The sequence below is a fragment of the Homo sapiens genome, chromosome 16 (genome assembly GCF_000001405.40).
Source record: "Homo sapiens chromosome 16, GRCh38.p14 Primary Assembly".
Taxonomy (NCBI): Eukaryota; Metazoa; Chordata; class Mammalia; order Primates; family Hominidae; genus Homo; species Homo sapiens.
The window spans coordinates 54,630,610-54,652,584 of record NC_000016.10 but is presented as its reverse complement, the minus strand read 5'-3'; the positions used below and the strand labels follow the sequence as shown (position 1 = coordinate 54,652,584).

General features: G+C 41.6%; 1 long non-coding RNA gene across 1 annotated transcript; it reads right to left on the bottom strand.

Annotated features, from left to right (window-relative positions):
- Window positions 1–375: 375 nt before the first annotated feature.
- LOC105371274 (uncharacterized) lies at window positions 376–18,516 on the bottom strand. Its single transcript, XR_933596.3, has 3 exons — window positions 18,077–18,516; window positions 15,829–16,498; window positions 376–1,010 (listed from the first exon to the last, which is right to left on the bottom strand). It is a non-coding gene; the product is annotated as an uncharacterized LOC105371274 (long non-coding RNA).
- Between the last annotated feature and the right edge of the window lie 3,459 nt (window positions 18,517–21,975).

Here is a 21,975-nt window from a genome sequence, read left to right as displayed (position 1 = left end):
TTCACTCTTGCTGCCAGGAAGCTGTGAGTCAGATTTCAAAGCTCAGTGGTAGCAAACAAAATGAGCCTTATAATTGCCCTATTTGCAGCTTCCTTTTTTCTTGTCCAGAGTTTTTGTTTTTATCATTTGTGGTTTGGGTGGTGAACTGCCTTCTATCGGTGAGGCAAAGGTATAAATAAATAAATAAACCAGTTTTAAAACCATGCACCCAATTGTGGTGTCTTATCAACGCTAGCCTCAGTCTGAGAGCACGTTTTGTTTTCCTTCATGCTTAAAAACAAATCCATGCCTTTGCATGCTACCTAAGAAGAAAGATTGGCTGCCAGAACAATGTAACTAGAGCTGGAAAGGGGAAATAAAACTGGGTTGATGGACCTGGATATATGAGATCTTTATTTTCTGCCTTGTGAGAATGTTGTTGCAGCCCCATTTTACAGGTAAGTGAGGGCAGACGCAGCTTCCTGGGGCCACCAGAGTGTGACTGAGTGATGTGTCACTCCTGAGCCCTGCCTCCAGTCCGCTTGTGCAACCTTTTTTATTTCAAAAGTGCTTCTGCACTCCCCGGTCATTCCAATGCTGCTGGTGAGCACACTTCATTTCTACTTTGTTTAGCGATCAGAACCGCCACGACTTTCGAAAAGCATGAAATCTCTAAACGAAGGAATGTAAAGTACTTGGCTTCCAACCCCCCCAATATGGAGAAACAATCTGAATACACAAAATTAGAAAAACATACACAGAATGGTTGTTTAAAATTCACAGCTGTCAAAATCAAGTATTTTGTATGAGAGAAAGAATGTAAGAAACATCAGGTTAACAAAATAGCTGCAGATGGATCGCTTCGCGCAGAGGACTAGGCTGGCATTGTCTGCGCCCTGTTTTGCAGAGGTTCATTTGCATTGCAGGACAAAGGTTCGCTGTTGGAGACCCTTTCTCTCCATCCTCCTCCTCCAAAAGGCACCTCGCCATCCGCAGTGAAGATAGACCGCCTCCCTCCTGCCATCAGAAACCTACAGGAACGAACACAAATCTGTTATTTTAACACAACGTGGGCACAAAGTGGTGTTTTCATTCCGAATAAAGCTGGGGGAAGCTGAAGAATAGGGCCTTTTATTTGCAGAAGATACTCAAAGGAAGCAAGATTGAACCGTAGGCCAGCGTATAAGAATAAAGTTGTTAGAGGTTTTGGAGCCTGTGGCCTGGGAGCTCCACTATAAGTTCCCTGTCAGCTTGGAGCGCTTTGCATCAGAATGCATAATTGCATCTGTTAATTACATTTTTAGCCTAGTCCTCCAACATAGAATAAATTCATCTTCCTCCCACTTTTCAGACTGCCTGGGAGAGGAGACTTTTTTTTCAATTTAATAAACATGATTGACAACAGAAAATGTAGATTTACTTTCTTTCTATTATGACTGTATATTGGCGTCCAGAACGCAGACATGTATTTTGCTGATGATTATACGGCAGCCCGTTAGCAATTGCATTCATTCCACAAATTCTAAGGGCCCTGTTTTATGATTCTTGTAAGACGTAGCTTGAAGGTGGCACAAAGAAATGTTTAAAAATATTCAGAGGCTAAGGACGTTTTAAGCACTGTATCTAAAGTGGCAGAGATGGCATTTCAATGGTAAAGGCCAGCCGCTAAGACCAGTACTGTTGAACTCTGGGCCTCCAATCCCTGGACTGTATTAAGGGGGTTGAGCTGGAAGAGGCTCAATGTTTTGCCAGTCCTTTGAACCGGGAACCCTTGAGTTTCAAATCTGCTATTGCCCCACCAGACAGCTGCCTCTGCCTCTGCCCAAGGTCACGGATTGACAGTGAGACAACTGGGACGGACACCCTGACTTACCTGGAGAAGAGGTTAGAATAGTGGGAGGGAACCTGGGGAATCTAGCCCCTCTCTTCCTTCCCTCTCTCTCTTTGGTCGGCCCCAGAAAAAGTGGGTGAAAGTCCGCCTTCCCCATTTGGGTGGAGGCATAGCACAGGAAAGATGACTTTAACTAAAGCTGAGAGACCAGGAGGACGATGTGATTTCTGAGGCCATGGCATGAGGCGCCATGAGTCTGGGGGTGGTGGCTGTCCAGTCCTGCTCTGGACGGTGGTCCCATGATGTAACTGAGGGCCTTGACACCAGCTCTTTAAATCAGGGGTGCTTTAGGGGCCCCCTGCTGCCATGGTTTCTAATGGCCTTAATCCCAGGCCTGAGGGGCACGTTAAATAATTTTTCTTTTTTAACCACCTAAGAAACGCTCATGTTTGAGTAGAAAAGAGAGAAAAAAAAAGCAAATCTTCCAGAGCATACATAATCTCCTCTTGATCTGGTCTCCTCGGGGGCTCTGACTGGCAAAACTAAGCCTGCAGGATGGTTCTGAGAAGAGTGTGAGAATCTCCCTGCCTCCATCTGGGAGAGCACACTGAGGAGGCCCGTGGCATCTTCAGAGCCCTAAGCTTAGACTCTTCTCTAACAGCTGTAGAGACACATATGAGCCTTGATGTCGTGCGGTCATATATCTTCCTCCAAATGAGAGGTCAGATGAGATCATCGGGGTGAAAGAGCTTTGTAAACTAGAGAGCACTGGACAAATGTCAGTCTGTTTTCATTATTAACAGGGAGCACGGGCTCTCTCCTGCCAAGGAGCCTATTAAAACATTTTTTTATCTGAGTTCTTTTTCTTTTTTTAAATTGTTAACAAATATTTACTCAGAGCCTACCACTGGCCAGGCACTTTATAAACATAAATCAGATCATGTCACTCTCCGGGTTGAAACACTCCAAGGCGCCCCATCACACCTAGAATAACATGAAAAGTCTTCACTGTGGCCTGGAAGGCGGCACGTGATGGGGGCCAGCAGCCTCTCCCTCCTCAATTCCCTCCATCTGCCCCCTTTTTCCTCTGCTCTGGCTGGGATGCCCACCTTGCTGCTCCTCAAACATGTCAAGTTCATTTTCACCTTAGGCCTTTGTCCACACTGTTGAATCTTCCTGGAAAACACTCCACTCCACCCAGGTCTCTGTTCAAACGTCACTTCTCCAAAGAAGTCATCTTTGACCACATCTCTAAAATGTCCTCCTTCCACACTAATACTCTTTGTCCCCACACCCTGCCTTAAGGCTCTTCATAGCCCACATCCTAATCTGAAATGATTGAAGATGTTTGTGTGTGTGTGCCTGTGTGTGTGTGTGCATATATATGTGTGTGTGTGTATATATATATGTTTATTGCTGTCTCATCCACTAGAACACACGCTCTGTAAGGCATGTTTTGCCTGTTATTGCATGCTCAGACTCTAGAATAGCACCTGGCACATAGTAAGTGGTCAGTTAATACTAATGGTATAAATACAAAGAGCTGGGAATGCAGAGATGAGAAGAAATCAAGGGGCTTATAGTTCTGTCCTTGATCTGATGGGATTTGCCTCAAAAGGAAAGCAAGAATAATTAATAACTCAATGCTTATGCTTCAGTGGAAAAGACTCAGACACTCAAGTTATTTCATTTTCATAAGAAGGCTTGCCCAAGCTTGAGGATCTGGTTCCTGAGGTCTTCTTTGAGCCAAGACTCTTGGTGTGAGATGTATGAGGACCAGGGTCCACAGATGAGTCAGGTAAGAGACTGCGGGGGACACAATGGAAGAGCCACCCAGCTCCTAGCAACTCCCTCCATTCTAGATTGGCTCTACCCAGCTCCTTTTCCTCCCTGCGTGTGGATCAAATGAGAGCCACATTGTTCCCGCTCCCTGCTGTGTTGATTAGTGAGGAGTCATCGCCTCACCCACGCTGAGCTAATGACGCTCTCTCAACCCTAGTTTATAGGTAGGCAACAGCCTTTAGCCAGGTCAGTCGGGTCCTCTCCTGGGGATTTGCCAGCTGGAACTAGAGGGAAAAACTGTTTTCTTTTCCAGTCACAAAGCTGTGAGGATGTGAGGCCAGGAACAGCCATTAGCGGAGGTTCTAGTTCACGGCAACAGCGAATGGATGAACAATGCAGAGACAAGAGTTAGTGACCTAGATGGAGAGATAAAGAGAGAATGTCCAGGCCCTGGTTTCACCTCCACTCCCTCCCTGCCTACATCCTAAGCCACTAAATTCCCTCTTTTGCCTTCGCTAGCTCAAGCTGGTTTTTTATTTCTTTAAAAATACCCTAATGAATATATTGTTATTTAACTAGTTACTTAATTATTATAAAATAAATACATAAATTCAGTTTAAAAATCCACACACTTTAGGAAATTATAAAATGGGAAGTGACCTTCCTTCTTGCCCCCCGACCGCCACTCCCTTCCCCGCCTCAGCCCCACTCCCTGGTTTCGTTCCCTGGAGGTAACCCGCAACCACTTATTAAACTTATTATCCTTCCAACTGTCATTTGACAGACTTCTGGCAAGCATTTTGAAAAGCAGCAGAAAATCCTTTGTAATTTTGATTTATCCGATTGTAATATATATTACTCTTGTAGATTTCCAAACAATGGGTTATTCAACCATTTATTTCAGTCAGCTTTGTCTGCATTAGTAAATGTTTTGACATTAGCCATTTATTTCAGAGATGAATGATTCATTTGGGTATTTCTCAACAACATAAAATAATACCCTGGGTGAGGGCATGGCTGACTTTTTGGCAGGGACTGAGTTATTCATTTTTACATTCTTCATACTGCTCAATGTGCTTTGCACAGAGTAGGCGCACAGTATGTGTTGGAATGGATGAAGAATTTGGTGAAAGGGAGCTTGAGACAGAAGGGGGAAGAATGAATCTTTATTGAGTGCTTTCACAACACCGTGGACTTGGCATGCTTTGTCTCTTTCTGTCTTTGCTGCAGCTCCAAGCAGCTCTCATTCTTGTCCCTTCTCCAGCTCTTTCTGGGGTTTTCCATTTCACGATGTGGCTTCCATGTCTCTCCAGTGAATTCATTTTCCTTGGGTTTGCCAGACTTGGTTTCTGTTGCTTGCAATTCAAGAACTCTAACTGCCAGAGAAATCAGAGCATTAAAAGTAGGGTGAATGGACTACACAGAAAAAAAAAAGATACAACCCTACTTACAATGTGGAAAATGAAGGCAAAAACCCACTAAGTACTTTGCTTTAGGGCACATGGTTAAGGAGTGGCCAAACAGGAATTAACTCAGGTCTATCAAGGTACAAAAGTCTGGCCCTCTCCACCACCCTGCAACCGGGTGCCAAGACTCTGGTCCAGGAACAAATTATTTCCAGAGGCCAAAGAAAGCATGACCCAACTTGCATGGTCCTCACTAAGAACTCAGGCTGCATGTGGTTGGCAGAAGACGGCCTCTTCCAGAAGTCTGTAGGTTTTATCCTTGGCGAATTTTCTAGATCCTTGCTGATGCCAAAGCATGATTTAGACACTTAGAAAAAAAATATATTTGCATGAGACAACCCATGAAGCAGAACCTCAAGCACTATTCTCTTATTTGTTTTTGTTATTTTTAAATATTTCACGAGTCTAATTTCTCTTCTGTTGCCCTCAGCACATAGAAGAAAAAAATCCTTACCATACATGGTGAATTCTGATAATTTATTTGTTTTTGGTAAGATTTTTTATTTTACATAATATCGTAGCATGGTCAAAAACAGGGGCTCAGCCTGGGCAACACAGTGAGACCCCATCTCTACACAAAATTTGTTAAAAATTAGCTGGGCATGATAGCACACATCTGTGGTCCCAGCTACTTGGGAAGCTGAGGTGGGAGGATTGCTTGAGCCCAGGAGTTTGAGGCTGCAGTAAGCTGTGATTGCACCACTTTACTCCAGCCTGGGTGACAGAGTGAGACCCAGTCTCTATGTAATAAATAAATAAAGTAATAATACTATTTAGTAAAAGCAGGGACTTTAGAGCCAGATTTCCGAGATTTGAACTCCAGCTCTGTCACTTGCCATGTGACCTTGTTGTATGTGGGAAGTTCCTTACCATCTCTGCCCCTGTTTCCTTGTCTGTAAAATGAGTAAAATAAAACCTGCCTCCTGGGATAGTTGCAAGGATTAAAAAGTTACCATATGTAAAACACTTAAAATAGGGTCTGGTACATAATGGGTGCTGAACATATTTGCTATTAGTATTATTCCTGCATTTACTATTTTAATTGTTTTATAAGTACTCTTTGGGAACCCTGAGCAGATGAAATGAGTTTTGAATTCTGCAGGTACATGTGTGTGAATTTTGCAGTTCAGAGCAGTGGCTCAGAGACTGTGATTAAGGCATAGGTCTTAAAGTAACAAATGGCTGGTAGCAATAGTAGTATAAATAGAACCCCACTTCATGGATATTCTAATTATTCTTTCCTCTTTGACACGATTCCATGTTTAGCTGCATGGCATTAAGCAATACTTACGCAGTTCGGGAAAGGGCAATTTAGAAAGATCAGACCCAATGATCTTAAAGCCCTGATGTATGGTTCAGTGAAAGTATAAGTAGGTCAAATACCTCTAACATTGAATTAGCTGAAATTATGCAAGCTATTATATTGGATATTACTATTTGAACATTTTGTATAAACTGCAGTAATACACACTCGTCTTTATGGGATGAATCAAGACTTAAAACTAATTCTGGCGAATTAAGAATTGTATTTTCCAGGAATTAACTACCACGATTTGACTGCAGCTGTAAAAATTTTATTAGGCAATACATCTGACCTCAAATTGGAAATTTGTGTTGGAACCAGTTTAGGAAATAATTATTGCTGTGTTGTTAATTTTATATTTGCCTAATAAAACACAGCAGGAACAACAGGGCTGGGTGAATGTAACAAAAAAAAAGGCCCTGGACATGCTTTAAATGAGTATTTTCAACCAAGCTGGGACTAGCAACCTGTATCTCTGATGAACACTGTTGCTGCTGACATTGTGGAATTAATATTAGTTCATGGTGATCAGACTGTGAAAGAGGAACATGTTGATGTTGTTTGTATCATTCTCATCAGCCAATAAGAAGTATCATAATGTGCATATCTTAAAATGTTTGCTTTGGTAAAGTTTAACTTCCTCGCATACTTAGAGCCTCATGGGAACATGCTCCTCTGCACACATGCATGTTGACACTGCACTCTCTGAGGCCGAACCACTTGTTCCTGTTCGTTCAGTTTGCCTTGTGAAGAGTATTAGCAAAGACCAACTTCTCTTGGAAGCAAAAAGCATATGCCTTTGTTGGTGTTAGTGTTGTTGTTAAGAGAGGACTAATTGTTTCATGCAAGTACATGAGTGGATACTATGCTTCCTTACGTTAGAATCATCTTCCAGTCTCTTCTAGAATTATCTAGTATCTTCTATGATCCTTGAGATTCACCTCGAAGACATAATTGGAGGCTATTAATTGAGTCCATAGCTACTTGCTACTGGTTGCTGTGGGGCAGTGTTACCCAAAAGCTGAGACACAAATTATCTTCCAGATGGGTATCAAATAACGTAGATTCACACCAAGAGAAAGTTATTCCTGTTACAGTCCTCTCTCGATCCTTCTGATTGTACCAGCTGGGAAGTCTCAGGTTGGTGGTAGGATGTCTCTGACAACTTTTTCACTCTTGTTCATGTTGATTTTTACCAGAGAGGGCAGAACTCAGGCTCAGAGCCTGAGGAGGCAGGCAATAACAGCTAGCTAGAGTTGACTGATATTGACCTGTTTGCCCTGTTTTTTTTTTTTAATGGTTGTAATTCAATTTATGGTAAATGAACATGATGTTCCATTTATAATAGGGATTGAATATCTGTAAATAATTAAATATAAAATAATTTAATTGATGGAAAAAATATTTGGTAAATAATTAGTCATCATTGGATAAAGCAAAACAGCATGCTTGAAGAGTTTGAACTGGAAAGAGGTTAAAATGATGATGAGTTATGCAGATGTGGGTGGGGTTAGGAGAACCAGCAGGAATGGCAGCACCCAGGGACTAGCAACAGTGAGAAGCCATTAGCCTCCTACAGCCGAGTAGTGAGGGAAGGGATGGTTTTCCCAGAACCAAATGGGAACTAGGACTTTGGAGGCAGGAGATAGCCGCTCTACTGGGAAGCCGGGAGGGAGAGGGAAATAATACCCTGACTTCTCTTTCCTTCCACCTTCCAACATCCTGCTGGTGCCTTCTATCAACAACCTAGCCAGAAGCCAGAGTCAAGGGAGAGCTGGACGATGCAGTCCTCAGAGGTCAGAGAAGAGTTGGGAGTACATGGGGAGTCGGGGTTGGTACATGGAAAATAACAGAACACTGGGGCTGAAGTCACAGAAATTTGAGAGATCCTGCCAAAGTATATAGAGAAGGGTGAAATGGAAATTTAGGAAAAGGGATTGACTTTTGAGAGCCTACCCTACTTGTGCCATGAGTCAAATATCCTCTACCTGCTCTGTTTCATGATTTATTTCATTAGTGAACAGGTAAGATGAAGGAAATTCACTTTTGAAATTCCTACATTGCAATAATACAAAGCCAAGTGATTAGTTATTAGCAGATGAAGGTATAAATTAAAATCCCTCCTGCAGGCAACCCTGATCCCCTATGTACTCTGTAGAGTAGAGCACAACAGTTGAGAGTAACAGCTTAATGGCCCAGCCGGGTGGTATTCAAGTCTCAGCTCCGTCATATACCAGCTGTCTGGTATTGGACAAGTCATTTATCCTTCTGTGCCTCATTTTACTTATCTACAAAGTGGGGACATGACAGTTCCTACTTCTCAGGGATCCTAGCTCTTTGAACAATACCTGACACATAGTAGGTGTTCAATAAGTGTTTTATGGTAACATGTTATGGTAGTTCTGGCTTTTTTATTTTTAATTTTTTTTTTATTTTGAGAGACGGGGGCTCACCACATTCTCCATACTGGCCTTGAACTCCTGGGCTCAGGTGATCTTCCTGCCTCAGCCTCCCAAGTAGCTGGGACTATAAACATGCACCACCATACCGAGCCTGTTTTGTTTTATTTTGTTTTGCAGAGATGATGCCCATTCTGTCTCTGAGGCATAAGTAGTAGTAAGTGCTAATGCTTAGACATAAAAAAGCTGAGCAAGGAAAAAAATCTTTTCTCTCCAGTTTTTCTTAACTTCCATAAAACTTCAATAGATCAGCAGGTATCATACTTCAGTAATCAATATCCTGGTTAAGTAAATCAAAATACCTTTTTTGGTCTGATAGCTGCTGAAATATTTCCTAGGACAGATCAGTCCACTTAATCACACCTAGTGTGACCATAGTTGAAATTTCTCATGGAGGCTGAAAAACTGAGTGATCTAAGATATATCATTTGTAAACTGTGGCCTTTATCCTTCTAATCTGTGGATGAAGAACAGGTACGAGGAAGAACATCCAAGGCATTAATTTGGGACTTTTTTTCCTTAACCCACAATGTTATTTTATTATCATTTGCTTCTCTCTGATAAGATGAAAATATCCTGGAAGATTAAGGTTTTTCTAGCCCAAAGATACTTTAAGTGGTAAAAATCCTTTATTTAATGGGGGAGTGGGGAAGGCAGGTGTGCCCTGAACAAGACAGGGCTCCTGGCCTAGAGGAGATTATAATTTTAATGAGGGGCATGGGACAGGATCCAGGTCAGACCGTTCTGACTGTTTTAAGACTGGTGGCATACAGTGCCAAGGGGGTCCTGGAAAGGCAATTCCCCTCTCTGCTGGAGACAGGAGGCGATTAAGCAAACCAGAGATGACCTTGAGAAGGAGCTTGTTCCTACACTGGGTTCTGAGGGAGACGTAGGATTTTGAGAATTGGAGATGGATGAGGAGAGACATTGATGATAGAAATAATTCTGCAAGCAAAGGCTTGAAGTGAAGAAATTACTGCGGAAGATTCAAGAACAGCAGACATCTAGATCGGCAACCATGTGTTTTTCACATCGTAAGTAGGCTCTTTTTGAAATTTTTAACTTTTAATTTTTGTGAGTACATAGTAGATGTATATATTTATGGGGTCTATAGGTTATTTTGATACAGGCATACAATGCATAATAATCACATCAGGGTAAATGGGGTATCCGTCACCCCAAGCATTTATACTTTGTGTTACAAACAATCCAATTATACTCCTTGAGTTATTTTAAATGTACAATTAAATTATTATTGAGTATAGTCACTCTGTTTTGCTACCAAATACTAGATCTTTCATTCTTTCTATTTTTTTTTGTACCTGCATGTAGGCTTTTGAGATCTTTGTTTTACTGAATGGAATAGAATATGAGGCTCAGTAGTGAGAAATAGGTGAGAAGGAATTTCGAATGCGAGGTCAAAGAACGTATCTGCAAGATTATCTGTTGATTTGTAGGCTTTCCATCTTGCAACAAAAAAGGTGTCCTGTTTTCATAGAATAAAGAGATGGAAAGTTATGGTCTTTCCATTTGCTTTGCAGAGCTCAAAGTCAGACATATAAGATGTTGATTACTTCACAGTGGTGAAGACCACAGCAGAGAGACTGTGGGAACAGGAGAAGACCACCCAACTTGTGGAGGGTTGCAAAGTCATCTGGGGAGGTGAGGGGGTCTCTGCATCAGATATAAGGGAAAGGCAATTGTTGATTCAGCAAAGGAAAGCAGAAGAAAGGTGCTCCAGGCAGACAGAGTGTAAAAGACGTGTAAAGATCCAGAGGTGAGAGGAGGTGGCTATTGAGAAGCAGCCAATGTGCTTCCTCAAAGGATATGCTGGTCATGGCAATTTTGCTTGCAAGGCACAGAAACCCACTCAAGCTAGTGCAAATAAAAAGAGGGTATTATTGCAAGGATGCTAAGGTCTAGAATCCAAAAACAATAGAGCCAAGTATGGTCACAAGCTAAAGAATCAATACTCTTCATATTTCCTTCAAGGTCTACCCCCATGTATTGTATCTGCTTTTTCTTGTTCTGATTATGTCTGTCTCCTCTTGATTTCCATCTGACTCAAGATGGCCACCAGTCTACAACACAGCACAGCCCATCTATACAACCCTAACTAACTCAGCCTCTCAGCTCATATTCCCAGGAGAGGACTCTGATTGACCCTCTCACCTTGATTTAGGCAGAGCTCTTGGTACCAGACTTGTCCTCAGCTATCTAAAGAACTGTTACTTTTGGGTCAGGACCTCTGGGCCAGTCAGCCTTGGCTGTGAAGGGAAGGGAGCAGAGTCACATGGCCCATGGCCACTCATTCAGAGCTGTGGGTCTAAATACTCAAATCCTCCAAATTTCCAGATGCCACTGAAGTGAAAGCTGTGGAGTGATCGGGGATAAGTTGGTTGGTAGCTTGAATGAAGAACCACTAATAAGATGGTGCCCTAGAAATGCCCCATTGATTAAATGGTCTCTCCCACCATCCAATCTTAGTGTAATGTATTAATTCATTCTCACACTTCTATAAAGAACTACTTGGGACTGGGTAATTTATGAAGAAAAAAGGTTTAGTTGGCTCACAGTTCCACAGGCTGTACAGGAAGCATGGTTGGGGAAGCCTCAGGAAACTTACAATCATGGCAGAAGGGTGAAGGGGAAGCAAGCGCCTTCTTTACGTGGTGGAGCAGGAGGAAGAAACAGAGAAAGGTAGGTGCTACACACTTTCAGACAACCAGATCTCGTTAGAACTCTATCACAAGACAACACCCCCATGGTGCTAAACCATTAGAAACCACCGCCATGATCCAATCACCTTGCACTAGCCTCCACCTCCAGCACTTGGGATCACAATTTAGCAGGAGATTTGGGTGGGGACACAGAGCCAAACCATATCATGTAATGCCCTAAGAGCCACCTGCTTGATTGGCATTCTTAGCAAGATCTATATTTTTAATTTCATTTGGAACAGCAAAGAAACAAATAACTTAGGCATTTTCCTGTTGCATCTATAAGGAGAACTAAGTGGTAGGAATCTCTCCATCAGGTTTTCGGGTTTATCTTAAGTGCTCAGGAGAGAAAATGGTGGCAAATAACAATTTGTGGTTGAGAGAAAGTATAAAGTGCAACCCTCCAGCCAGAATGTTAATTCTTAAAATTTTGTGTTTATCTTGATGGTTTTGCTTCCTTCATTTTATTAAAAGTTTAAGATTTTTTCTGATAAAAAATGTACTCGTGTGCTAGGAAAAAATCCTCCCACTGCAAAAAAAAAAGACAGCACATTAAAATTTATTTCCCAGGAGAGAAAATAAATTTTCATGAAATAAAAGAAAGAACTAATAAACACTCATTTTCTGAATAAACATTTTTTTCTGCAAAGAATGTGCTTTCAGGCAAATACATTTGTGTGCCTCTTGAGGTATGTGATGTCTGCTGCTGCAAGACAATAGTAATTAAAAAATTAAACAATTAAAAGAGGAAAAAGTTTGTCATCAATTTTAATTTTATGTTATGTGAATTAATATTTCTTTTTATAATGCAATATTCTGCAATTTATCATGCAGGCGCAGTCTTTGCTTCCGCATTGTAGATAATTAGTTTACATTATTTTACAGAAATGAATTGTCGCTGGTGATCTGAAGTGCCTGCTAACAAATCACTTCTGTTGGGGATTCATTGAGATTCTACTCAGGCCTTAACTATAGCAATATATGGCATTGTCCTTACATGTTAAATATGAGGCTAATTTTTTAAAAAAGGATTCATAGTCCAAGAAGTCTAGAAACCTATCTTTGGAACAGATCAACATGCTCTTCTTTTGCTTCACAAAAAGGATTTATGTTCTCAAGTATAATTTTCAATACCAATTTTTCTTTCTTCCTCCCCCACCCCCACCCATCCATTCAGGCCACTAAACAAACCAGGAAGGACAATGAAGAGAAGCTTGGGATTTCTCCAGGTTGTTAATGAGACAAAGTTACTCACGAGTCTTTGTGCACCTTCTCCTCTGAAAGTTGATCTCACTATAAAATACTCATGGAAAAGAAAATTGAGCTCAAGAGCTAATTCAAAATTTCAGTATTTGTCATCATGAGTGTGAGAGCCATTTTATAGATCAATTTCATCATAGGAAAAAAATTGGATTGTCTGATCATGTCTTGTGAGGGCAGTATCACAGAGCTGATCTGTCTCCTTGAACTCTTAAAGAGAAAGAAATAGTATAGTTTGAGCACCCCGGGAACTGAGTGGAAACTGAGATGATACCTTCAAAAGTATCTTCTCTAGGATTCTTAGAAAGAAGTTGATATTTCTAACAGTTTGATTCAGGGTCATTCAGAGATTCTTAAGAGCATGATAATACTCCAGAAAACTCCAGAAATATATTAACACAGCCTGCCAAGAGTTCTAAACCTAAGATGCAGCTAGATTTGACCAGGGCAACAAACATTTATTGAGTGCCTATTATGAGCTCTAAAATTGCTGGTTCTTGGGTGAAACTGTTAAGAAATACAAGTCTATTGTTTGCATTTGAGGGACTTTCAGTCTAGAGAAAAAAAAGTGAGCAAATTAAATATAAGGGCATAACTATTGATTAGTGGTTAGTTTAGCATTTCCCAAAGTTCCAGTGGCACTCAAGTGATTTTTAGGTGACACATGGGCACAACACTAATTCATGAGCTAATGAGGAAATGAACTCTTTTGATCCTTCTTATGATCATAATGACAAGAGAAAGTCTAAGTTCGGTGCTCATATGCCTTTAATACTTTGCTAATTCTTGCCAGCTTTCCTTTTAACAAGAAAAGAGCAAGTTTTAGGTATATATCTTAGCTAATTCTATGAATAACACTATTTTTGTGTGTCTATTTATATTCTATTTATGCCAGGTTTCCTATTTACAATCATAATATAAAGTTTTCTTATAAAATAAACTGTTTAAGTAGAGAGTCTCTTTGAAGAAACATATTAAGTAATCAGTAGCATAGATGGTAAGTGGTTATAGCAAAAGAACAAAAAAACGTGGCAATTGAAAAGTCATCTGCACAGCTGTAATCCAAATCTCTAGCCATTCCTCCTCTTCTATCATTCCAAACCTTCAGCAAAGTCTACTAGGTACAGACAGGATGAGTGTGTGTGTACGCGTGTGTGTGCTGGGAGTAGGGTGGGACTGAGAATCATGGTGGGGCTGGTTCCATTTCTGAGTCTGGAAACCATGGGGCATGGGGACCACACGTGCCAGGTGGTGAGATGATGCTCTGGCAACAGGTGCTCAGTGCCAGAAGCCATCATGAGGAGTCAGCCCCCGGAAGGACAGTGTTCTTGGTAAAGTGTGTGGGCTGAGAGATAGAACAACGTGATCTAGTTCTTCAAGTGTGCAAGACCTGAGCCAACATCTGTTTGAATTTCCAGAGAGAAATAGAAATAATCAAAAAGGTCAAGTTGCAAGCTGTCCTCAGACAAGGAATGGGGGTGTCAGACAAAGTCTGAACCTTACCTGGTATTCAGGTGCCAAGAAACCAAGAGATGGCAGAGTTCTGGACCTGGAAATTACAGACCCCAGTTGCATGCTGGATACCAAACTAATTGTCAGCTTTTGGTAATGACTGTCAGATCTCTCGGATCCAGCATGTGTGTGTGCGTGCCCATGTGTGTGTTATCTTAGCATTGCTTGTTGATGTCACAAATCTCCTCCTGGTTAATGTATACGGCTGTAGAGTAAAAACTGGGTGTCTAAAAGCAGCTGTTTGAATCCCTAGAACAGGGATAGTAGACATTGGTGACCCAGAGACTCATTCCTTTGATTTTATATGTGTAAGGTCCCCCCAGAATAGTGGCCCTGGGAATCACCCTCCTATCTCCAGCTCTGCCTTTTGGAATTTCTCCACCACTTGGAATAATCCCCTCCCTACCCCAGGCCCCAAGTCTCACCATCTCGCCAACCCAATAGGGTCTGCAGAGGCCTGGCAGAAGTAGTGGAGCAAGGACAGACCCCACCTCCAACCCCATGGACAATCCTCCAAGCCCACGGCTGTTCCCACTCATCCATCTCCATCCCTGCCCACTGCCCAACCTCTCCCTCAGGCAAAGTGCTTGGAATTGAAGACACTGGTTGGAGTCTCTACAATGCAGATTGGTCTGGTTTTAGTGTTTTAGAGATGGACACCCAAGTCCCATCTTTAATATCTTGGTGGACCTTTGGGAAGACAGGAGAAAACCTATTTTTGTTTTTGTTGTTTTTGTCTTACAAGTTCTCTCTGTTTGCTAGAAGTAAAACCTCTTAGAAAACCATGTGGATGCGGGCGCATTGCAAGGAGGGGATGGTAGGAGAGAAGCTGTCTTCCCAGATGTTCCCCCAGGCTCCCTAACTCACCTCCCTCAGGGCCTGCTCACATATCATCTCCTCAGGGTCCCTCTCTGGGCCTCCTTCCTAAAACACTCCCTTTCTCACTTCCCTGGTTTAGTTTTCTTAATCCTCATCACCATTAAAAACTCCATATATTTAACTTATTGATCTGACTTGATTGGCCTGCTGCTCATTAGAATATCTGCTCTGTGAGAGTGGAGATATTTGTCTGTTTTGTTTACTTCCATATTCCTAGCATCTAGGACAGTATCTGGCTCCCTCTAGGTGATCAATAACTATTTATTATTGAAAGACTTGTCCCCCCATGGGCTGAGGGAACAAAACCCCAATTGGAAAATACAGGTACTAACCCTAAGATTGGAAGGAGACAGGCCCCCAGATGACCAGAGATTCAAGCCTGGACAAAGGATCTTTCTTAGGGCTTGGTTCCCTTAGCTCATCACCACATCACCCCCTGGAGCTTCATCCCAGTTGTTAACTCTTCCATCACAAACTCTGCCTTTTGGAAGGCCCATTTCCCACCATCAGTGCTGCAAAAGTGGGTGGTTCTAGAGGAGCCCCACTTCTTTCTGGGGGCAAGTGTCTGAGCTCAGGTTGTACATATTAGAGTGTTATGGGTTAAATGAGCATTTGCGGATTGCCTGGGGGCACTCACCACTGGATTTTCTGTAGGAAACGGATCTGGCTTCCCTCAGCTCCCCTGCTGCAGTCCATTTGTGGGGTGGGATGTGGGAGCTAACAGTCGCCAGGATGCACCCGTTGGAAAGTGTTTCTCCCCAACTCCAGCTGTTTAAAGGCTAATCTTTTTGCCTCACATGGGTTAAGAGTGCAAAGTTGAATCCAAAAAGGGCTCAATTCAATCTTATTTCCTCCTCCCTTTGATCTCTTCATTTCCTATTTCACTTCCTCTGACAATTTCCTCCTTCCATTCCCAGAACAAACAACTCTCACTGTGGCACTTGGCCATTTTCAATCATTTTCCCAGACACTGAGCTTCTCATTTGGCCACCGTTCACCATCGCCTTGTGGACGTTCCGATAAATATCAGGCATGGGCTGTAAAAAGGGAGGGTTGGGGACACCTCACTTTGTGCCTATGGATCCTCATTTCTGGAAACTTGGATGTAGCTGGGGATATCAGCCTGTGAAATCCTGGGGTTCCCCCGAAGGAAGGTAGCACAATGAGAAACCGTGAAGCAGGGTGTTTTGTAGTAAACAAAGGTGGATTCCCGTCCATGATTTCTCAGGGCTGCTGAAGTCCTGCTTTCAGTCATTTGTGTTTTTCTTTTCTTATTGAGCTCATAGGTGAGATCCAAATATTCCATTCTAAAAAAAAAAAAAACAAAAATCAAGAAAGAAAACATTCTAGAAACTTCTGTGTTCTGTTTTGACACCTAAGTCTCAATGTGAAATGGTCCCTGAACTAATCATATTAGTAAAACTGGCAAGATTAAAAGAGCCATAAACACACGCTAGGTGTTTCAACATCCATTAAAATGTATACAGCAGCCTCCCAGAATATTTAATAGGCTTATATGATGACTGAATGTGAATTCATTCATCTCAGTCAAGTCGGGTTATTAAGATACACATGCTAAGTGATTTGTCCTGTGTTTACCCTGTGCTGGGAAAATAGTATCTGATTTTGAAAAAAAAAAATGCAAAGCCGTTCTTTGTTGGAAGAAATGGGAGTCAGGACCCCACCCCACCCCCAGTTTCCATGCCAGCTTTATCACAAGCAAACTGCTTAGTCCCTGTGGGACTCAGTTATACATCTGAGAAATTAGAAGGGTTGTCCAAATGATCTCTAATGTTTCTTCCAGCCCTCACCTCTAAATGTGGTAGGTGGGGTAAGGTAGTGGTTGAAACTGTAGACTAACATTAGACTACTTAGGGTTCAAACCTTGCCTCTGCTGCTAAGTAGCTATGTAACAACTGAGCCTCAGTTGCTATGTCTGTAAAATGGGGATAATAACAGAAGGCTACAGTGAGGTAACCCGTTTGAATCCTGGTATCTAGGGAATGCCAAATCAATGTTGGTTAACTTTAGAACTTAATGTAAAATATCCTGGCCATTTTAGGGTATGGATTTCATTCCTGAAATTACAAATATCACTTAGATACACTGTTTATCTTAATCCTCACCACAGCCTTGCAAGGCAGATGGAGGTAGCCTTGATTTGCAGATGAGAAACTGAGACCCAGAGAAGTTACCTAACTTGGCCAAATGACAGAACAAATTGGACTGACTAGGTTCTGGGCTCCCGTCTCCCTCAATCCACTTACCTACCACCTCTGCTTAATTCCAGCATGTTCAGCATCCCTTAGGGATTCTAAATACAGCTGCGAGTATTCAGTCTCTAACCATTGGCTTTCTCCACTTTGGGAAGATATCAAGAGATGGACAATTTTCTGATTCTGCTGATTTCTCTGAAGTTTAGGGCTAGGAAATTGAAGTTGTGTTCTCAGCACCTGTTTTCTCTACTTCCTAATTGAAGCTTAGTCAGCCAAGAGCCGCTTTTGTTCATCATTATTATTAGTAGTAGTAGTATTTTAAATTTGCTGAGACTTCGACTCAACAGCATCACATCTTTAGAATTAATGTGTACCCCAGCCAAGCTGAGCCAAGTGGAAAATCAGTATTGTGCCTCTGTCTAAATCAGGGTTTACCAACTGTGTCGTTATTGACATTTTGGGCAGGACAGTTTTTTTGTTGTGGGGGCTGTCTTAAACATATTCCCATCCTATTGACTGTTTAGCAGTATCCATGGCCTCTACCTACCAAATGCCAGTAGCAACCACCTCTCACCACCCCTACCCCGAATTGTGACAATCAAAAATATCTCCAGACATTGCCAAATGTCCCCTGAGGAGTAAAATCCCTCTTGGTAGAGAACTACTCACCAGCTGAAGGATGAAAGGCTGAGGTCTGAGGTGAAGTATTCTTTTCATTCTTTTTAATTTATATATTTAGAGACAGGGTCTCGCTCTGACACCCAGGCTGAAGTGCAGTGGTGCAATCATAGCTCACTGCAGCCTTGAACTCCTGGACTCAAGCCGCCCTCTGGCCTCAGCCTCCCAAAGTGTTGGAATTATAGGCGTGAGCCACCACGCCTGACCCCTTTTCATTGTTCATTGCCTTCTTCAGTGCATAGCTTTTGGAGTTATTTTGACTCTAGTAAGTAATTGTTTTATCTGGCAACATCCTAGCAGGCAGAACATTTGCCATCTTGAGAAGCTTTTGGTCTGAAGGCAAATTTGCCCAGACAAAAATAAATGCTTTTTGTCCTCGTGGCTAGCGTGAGTGTTTTCTTTGGAATAGCGAAGGCAGCCATTTTCAAAATGGTCTCCCTATCTTTCAATGGGGCCAGTGCCCTCTGCTGGAAGGTTTGTCAGCATTGCCTCAGAGTAGGCTGGGTCAAATGGTTTGAAAATTTAGAAAACACCAGAAGTCTGGGTTGTTTTAACAATCCAAATATTAGGAAAATTTTGCGATGGCTTCCTTTGTATTAAGTCATTGTTTTTACATGTATTCTGATCTCTCAGCAGAGCTTATTATTATTATTTGTAGATTAACCCAAACTTCCTTTCCATCTTTCCATCTATAAACTCATCCAGTCTTTGGTGGATAATTATAATAACCACATCAACAGAACCGTACCTAATGTTTACTGAACCCTTAATTAACAATGTACTAATCACTGTGCCTATGCACACAACCTCCTTTTCCTTCTCAATAGCTGTATGACACAGAGGCTATTACTATTATTAACACATGAGGAAATTGAGACTTGAAGAGGCTAAATGAAGTAATTGATCACACAGCTTGTGATGAGGGAGAAAGCCCTCAAACTCATAGCCTGTATTTCTAATCCTATGCTATCCTGTTACATTCATTTATTCATCTTTTCTTTCATTCAATCATGAGGTTTCCTTTCTAAATGTGACACATTATTGGTCTAAGGAAGCACTATATGGATGTCTCGTGTCACTTGGAATTTGCTCCTGTTTATTTAAAGAATTTTTTTTACCTAATTATGATTTTCAGTTTCTGAAACTCCAGAGAGATGATAAGTTGCTTTTCCCCAAATGTGGACTCTGACTGGAGATGCAGAATTGTCAAAGGGGACTGGATTCTTAAGCATTCAATTGCTCATGAATCTCTCTAAAAACATTACATGTGAGTAACATTCATGTGCATCAGAATATACCCAAGACATTGTAATTTATAGCCCTTCTTATTACTTTAAAAGCCCAAGATTCTTGTAGAATATGGTTTAGTGGGTCAAACATTCCCTTTCCTCTCATTTATCAGGCTTTTGATCTCATGTCAGCCCTGAACGTTGGCACGCCAGGCCCACAACCATGTGCTGGGAGATCACACATGCACCAGGCCCCTTCCGTTTTGAAAACTTGCGGGGATGTGGGTGCTACGGTCCTGCCTGGGTAAGCAGAGGGGGTATTGAGTTCCCCAGTCCTCACTGCCCCTTTGTCTATTATTATTTTATAGTTTTGTTCTGCATTCCTTCCACTCAACCTCCAGTCCATAGAAGCCTGTTTCTTTATTAGTTGCATATGTCTGCACCCTTTTACCTCAGCAGGGAAGACAAAATATTCTGGAGGGTTTGGAGGCCTGGGATGGACAGCTAATCCATCCCCAGCTTGAACTAATCGTCGGGCCAATGTGCTATTGTACTGGGCCCTGTTCTGTGCAGCTGAGCTGTGGGGTTTCAATTTGTAGGAGCATAAACAGATACTAAAGTTGGAAGAACGGCTCGGTCATTTGTTAGCAGAGTTCAGATCAAATTATCACAGCGGTCCCCTGCTGACAGGCTGAACAATTACCTCCTTTTTTCTTGATCTTTAAATGTTTTCTGTTTCACTTAAGCCTCAGTAAATAGTTTACTTCTCATGGGCTTCATTTATTGACACAGAGAGGCTTGATTTATTTAATTTTGTTTCTCTGCCGCCTTCCAAGAAAGGAGTCTTCATAATGTTTTGTTGAAATCTACCCCCCCCAAAATGATAAGTTTATCACGGTAGGCTGAGGAAGCGGTTTAATGATATGACTATAAATTATCTGGCTTTTTAATGAGAAGTTTAGACACCCAAACTCTAAAGCCGATTTTTAAAGCTTTAAGCCAGAACCCAGGCTCTGTCTCTTGAAAAGGTTGAAATCTAGAGTCAGAAACTGGTATAAAGAGAGATCCCTGAGATTTGGGGATCTGAATCCATAATTGGATTATTCAAAACCCAGGAATCTGATGAATCTTTTCAGGAAAATGGAGCATATTGTGTCCGTTCTGACTGTCCTATCTCGGCATAGATTCATTGATGTTCTGCGTGAGTTCACCAGAATTAACTTCAACATTTGTTTTCACTCTTTCTCCCCTTCCCCCAGTTTCAACCCTTGACTTTCACTCTCCCATAGTTACATTTGTCTGCTTCTTACAGTCCTACTGGGACGGATTTATCATCATTTGCTAACATATCTGTCTCAAAATCTCAGCTTTGATCAGCTTGTATTTTATAACTTACATCTGTTCTACATTTAACCTTTTGTAATGCTGTTTTTCAAAAATATTACCTGATCTAACAAAAGAATTGTACCAGAGTGAGAGCTCCAGAGTGTAGATTTAAAAAAAAAAAAAAAAAAAAAGCGCCAAACATACCTGCCTACTTGACCATATTTTTATTACTCTTCCAGAGTTACCCTTTCATTAAATATATAAATCCATCATTTCTCCCACCTCATGATGGGACCTCGGTTGATCCAGGGGCTTCGTGATCCCCGTCTGCTCTTGTCCCGTCATCTTGACCCTTCCTTCGCCTGGAATTCATGCCACAGCGCGAGGCTGTGTGCAGGGTGCTTCTGCGGAGGCCCATGGCTGGAACTGGAGCCGGCAGACTTCCTGTCCCACTGGCCTGTCCCAGGGGGGACCAGAGGTCTTTTCCAGTGGGTTCTGACTTCCACAAGGTTTGGATTCAATTTCATTTGCTTATTTTATTTTAATAAAGTTGATTTATTTTTACCAATGAATTAGGAAATATTTACAACACCCAAAGAGGTCTAAAAGTCATATAATAAACACCCATGTAGCCACCACCCACCTTAAGAAATAAAATATTACAAATATAGTAGGAGGCCCCTTCTATGTATGCTTCTCTGTCAAATTCCACCCCCCAACCCATTCCTCAGAGAGTAAGACTGCCTTGCCATTCCCAGGTATTTCTTCTTAAACGTAAACTTTAGCTACTTATTATATTTCCCTACACAAGATTTTCTATACTCTTCTGTCCCTTCCTTTTTTTCTTTTTTTTTTCCCCCTTTTTTGTAAAGAGGAGATCTTGCTATGTTGCCCAGGCTGGTCTCAAACTGCTGGCCTCAAGCTGTCCTCCCACCTTGGCCTCCCAAAGTGCTGGGATTACGGGTGTGAGCCACCACACCCAGCCCTGCCTTTCTTTATCTATGTTGATATGTGTAGTGCTAAGTAGTTATTTTCATTGCCACAGAATATTCCATTTTATGATGAATATTTATATTTTTTTTCAACTTTCTTGCTGTCACAATCAGTGCTTTATGAAAATTCTAGTATGTATCTCCTGGGGCACATACATGAGAGGATTTTTAGTGTGTATAATAGAGAAAGAGTAGCTGATTCACTTAGACACTTCTCTATTTGATTAGATATTGCCAAACTCTTTTCCAAAAATGGTTGTGCAATTTCACACTCTCCCAAATGTTGATGGGAATGTTATGGTATCTCCTAGCAGTTTTAATTTGCATTGATTTGCTTATAAAC